Source organism: Homo sapiens, chromosome 11, assembly GCF_000001405.40.
Source record: "Homo sapiens chromosome 11, GRCh38.p14 Primary Assembly".
NCBI lineage: Eukaryota > Metazoa > Chordata > Mammalia > Primates > Hominidae > Homo > Homo sapiens.
This window is the reverse complement of record NC_000011.10, coordinates 58,212,368-58,216,650: the sequence shown is the minus strand read 5'-3', so window position 1 is coordinate 58,216,650 and position 4,283 is coordinate 58,212,368. Positions and strand designations below refer to the sequence as shown.

The following is a 4,283-nucleotide window of genomic DNA, read 5'->3' as shown; positions in this document are numbered from 1 at the left end:
TGGCAAAAGAAAATCAAGTTTGAACTATTATACTAACAAAAGAGTTTAGTACAGAAATATGATAATAACAAATAAATTCTACCCTTTTTCCTACATATCTGTAAACAAATTTACTTTAGCAAAAAACATCATGAGACACTCAAGAACAACTTAATAATCTATATGTTTAAAATAGAAAGAAAACTATAAAATGTCATTAAAAACATATAAGAAGACTTGAACAAATAAATGAAGAGACATTACAATTATAAACATTACAACTTGAAAAATAATTCATACCAAAGTCTATAGTAATATAGATTGTAATTAAGATGTGAGATGTGGGTTTTTTAAAGTAATTTTTATTTTTTATGCATAAATTTTTTATTTATTGATACATGTATTTTTATTGACACATTGTCCCCCATATTTTTGGGTAATGTGATATTTTGATAAACTCATATAATGTATAATAAGCAAATTAGGGCATAGGGATATCCATCACCTCAAACATTTATCTTTTCTTTATGCTGGGAACAGTAGAATTATTCTCCTTTAGCTATTTTGAAATATACAATAGATTATGGTTTACTATAGTCCCCCTAATGATTTATCAAACAATAGGTCTTATTTCTTCTATCTAACTGTATTGTTGTACCCATTAATCAACAACTCATCACCTCCATTCCATCTTCCCACCCCTGGGCCCTGGTAACCACCAATCTACTCTCTAAGGATGCGTGTTATTCTTGTGACTTACCATGGCAGTTACAGGTTTTGTTTCCAAGACAAGAGCTAAGTGGAAAAGCTCCAACCCCTTCAGAGGTTGGAATAGGAGACAGATACCTGCAAGTTCATCAAAAGTTGAACCATCACAACTGTGCCATACGCTCTGGGCTGAATCATTTATCTGATTATGTGGACTAAAAGAATGTAGAGGTCCAGGGCATCAAAGGGAAGAAATTTTTCTATTGATGAGCTTTCTCAGGGCACCTTTCATATCCTTATTCCTCAAGCTGTAGATGAAGGGGTTTATCATGGGTGTCACCACAGTGAATAGGACAGCACCAATCTTATCAGTGTCCTCAGGGTGAGTGGAGGAGGGGAAAAAGTACACGCCTACAATGGTTCCGTAGAACAGTAATACAACTGTCAGGTGAGAGCCACAAGTGGAGAAGGCTTTCCACTTTCCCTGTGTGGAAGATACTCTCAGGACAGCTCTGATGATGCAGACATAGGAAAAGAAGCTGAGTGTAAAGGGGAAGATGATAACTGATAAACCCACAATAAACAACACAAGCTCATTGATCAATGTATCTGAACAGGACAGTTTGAGCAGAGGGGCCAAGTCACAGAAGAAGTGTGGGAGAGTGTTGTGGTTACAGAAGAGCAATTGAATGAGCAGAAGGGTGTGTGTCAGAGCAATAATATTACTGAGGAACCATGAGATGACTGTGAGCAAAATGCCGAACCTGGGCCGCATGAGAATTGTATAATTCAGAGGGTGGCAGATCGCCACAAAGTGGTCATAGGCCATGGTCCCCAAGAGCAAATTGTCAATGACGACAAACACAATAGAAAAGTACATCTGTGTGATGCAGCTCTCATAAGAGATGGATTGACTCTTGGTTTGAATATTCACCAGCATTTTGGGGACTGAGTTGGAAATGGAGGAAATATCAGCAAAGGATAGATTGGCAAGGAAGAGATACATGGGGGTATGAAGGTACGTATCCAAGCTGATAGCCACAATGATGAGCCCGTTCCCAATCACAGTGACCAGGTACATACCCAAGAAAAGCACAAAGAGGAGGTTTTGATGCTCATCCTGCTTGAAAAATCCCAGGAGAATGAATTCAGTGATGGTGGTTTGGTTTCCTTGATGCATATTTCTGCCGATCTGAAGAAAGGAACTAAAAGTCTTCATATTCCTACAAGAAAACCTAACATGGTATCATTTGGCTGCAGCCATTGCAGTAAGTCACTTGAATAAAGTTTCTTCTGCTTATTAAGTGGAAGTGCTACTTAATAAGGAAGTATTTCAGCAGTGCAGAGATTTGGAAAATGCCTTAGAAAAAGACAGGACATGGCCGAAACTTCTCAAAAAAACTGTTTTAAACTCTAACAGGATTCTGAATGTGATTTTTCCAGTTGGTTCTAAATGTAGTTTAAATCCCGCAAACTGAGGGTCATAGATGAGGCATACCCTATATTCTAAACATGTTATATACACCTGCAGAATTAACTTAAAAATGACCAAACTGGTTGCCAAACCACCTTTATCCTTTAAATCTAAGAAAACAGAAATTTCAAGTCTCGTGAAAGTGAAGAGTTTGGGGAAGTAAACACAACTGAGGGTTAGGAATCACTATGGCAGTGTACACCATTGTGTTGGTGCTTCATCCCACTAACGCCGGGGGAGAACTCCAAAACAAGTGCTTTTGGAGAATGAGTACAAGAAGGAGCAACCAGGGTTTTACTTCATCTGTGGCTACATATTAGCCTCAAGAAAATTTAGGGGGCACACATACACTTAAAGACTTCTGTTTGCCTCTTGCTTTTAAAGGGGCTCACTGGATCAGGCTACGATGGCAGGGGTAAAGAGAAAAGATGGTGGGGATAGAGGGAAAAGATGGTGGTTAGTAGGGCAATCTGCATTTTCACCCATGACATGGCATAAATATGTGAATTTCCCATAGGACACGTGATGCTATAGGAGGTCATTGGAGTCAAGTCACCTTGTTGAGATTCCAATCCAGAAACAGCCTATCAGGGCAGAGGAGGCTGTAGCAATAAGAAACCATGAGGTGGGTCTCTTATGAAAGAGAGATCTTAAAGAGATCAGGGACATAATTCATTGCCCTTGTCAGGGAACCGCATAATGAGGCAGTCCCAAACGGGAGCCCCTGACGAACCCCAAAATGGTCTCAAGAGACACCAGGCCTGCCACATATAAGGCACAAGCTGCTAGTATCTATGGCAACAGATATGAACACTTTTGCCTTTTTTCCCACTCCTGTTCTTCCTCCTTGACCTGATAAAACTGAAAAAGAAGGAAAGACCAAAATGACTAAAACAACAACAACAATAGTAACAACAACGGGTTTGTGGGAAGAGAGGCCAAAGAGCAAGGGAAGAACATATGCTCCCACCTTTCCACTGTATGACCCAAGCTACACATCAGATCTGAGCTCACAAGGGAGGACCCATGCTTTGAATTGATAGTGAAGCTGAAGTTTAAAATTGGGCTGGACTTGGTTTTTTAATACCTGGAAATGGGTCTTCAGTATCAGTTAAACATTTTTAAAACCTTAAGTGGCCAGAAAGGTAAACGGCTCTCACAAGGTGTCATCCAGGAGAAGGGAAGAGAGACTGGACCTAGTATGATTTTCCTTGTGATTTATTGGAAATAATATCAGCTTGGGAACAAAGAGACATTTGTCTCCCTCTCACTTTATCCCTCTCTTCTACCTATCTCCAACATCACTTATCTCTCAAAGATTTTCTTTCCATTCAGAGGCCAGAAAAGAGACAATCTTCGTCTCTGAAATTCCTGAAAACTGAAAGGCATTAGAGATTGAAGCAGAGATCTGAAGTCTCTTTCCTCCTGAAATGCTTGGCTTACAAATCAGAGACAAGAGAAAACACATGCAGAAGGGAGAATCCACAACAAAACTGAAATGAGCTAAATAACTGGCAGGCATCTATATTGAAGATACAGACCGGCCTGTGGTTACCAAGGCCTGGGCTGGTTTGGGCTTGACTAGAGAGGGAACTGTATGTTTCTGAGTGACAATCTCTGATCTCTGCTTTCCGTTCTACCTTTCCACTTACCAGTAGTCCTGCACAAATTGTTCTGAATTCTTAAGGTGACTGTCTAGCTGGTCAAGACCAATGCTGGATTCTGAAGAGATTCACCTCTGAATGATGGTAAAAATCTCAGAAAGTTACTGGTTTCTAGACCCAGTGGCTTTCCTTATCCTTAGCAGAGTTGCAGGTGGAGACTCAGTAGCTCTTAGGTATTTTTCAGATTAAACTCTTCCTCCAAGCTTCCTTCCAAGATCTTAATAAAATCACGGTGCTGGGCTCACCTGGGACATTCAGGTCCTTCTCATCCCTTTGGGATAATACCCCTCAAGTGTTTTCCTCAAGACACAGTAATTTTTACATCCAAGTCTTGATGAGGTAAATGGGGAATAGACAGACAGCTCTGCTTTTTTTCCCTTGTTTTGTCTTCACATGCTCTTCCCGCTTGTGATTTCCTATCTGTAACTTAGTTGATTATTGCTCTTCACAGGGAGGGA

At 40.1% G+C, this 4,283-nt stretch overlaps 1 protein-coding gene across 1 annotated transcript; it reads right to left on the bottom strand.

The window, feature by feature from the left end:
* Positions 1-566: 566 nt before the first annotated feature.
* OR1S1 (olfactory receptor family 1 subfamily S member 1) lies at positions 567-3,931 on the bottom strand. The gene is made up of 2 exons (NM_001004458.4): positions 3,814-3,931; positions 567-1,922 (listed from the first exon to the last, which is right to left on the bottom strand). The coding sequence occupies exon 2, from the start codon at positions 1,865-1,867 to the stop codon at positions 929-931; it is 939 nt and encodes a 312-aa protein (NP_001004458.2). The 5' UTR covers positions 1,868-1,922; positions 3,814-3,931; the 3' UTR covers positions 567-928.
* Positions 3,932-4,283: the final 352 nt, after the last annotated feature.

Bases quoted from the DNA above. Each gene is read 5' to 3' on its own strand.
- OR1S1 (NM_001004458.4), bottom strand. From the start codon at position 1,867: ATGCATCAAGGAAACCAAACCACCATCACTGAATTCATTCTCCTGGGA.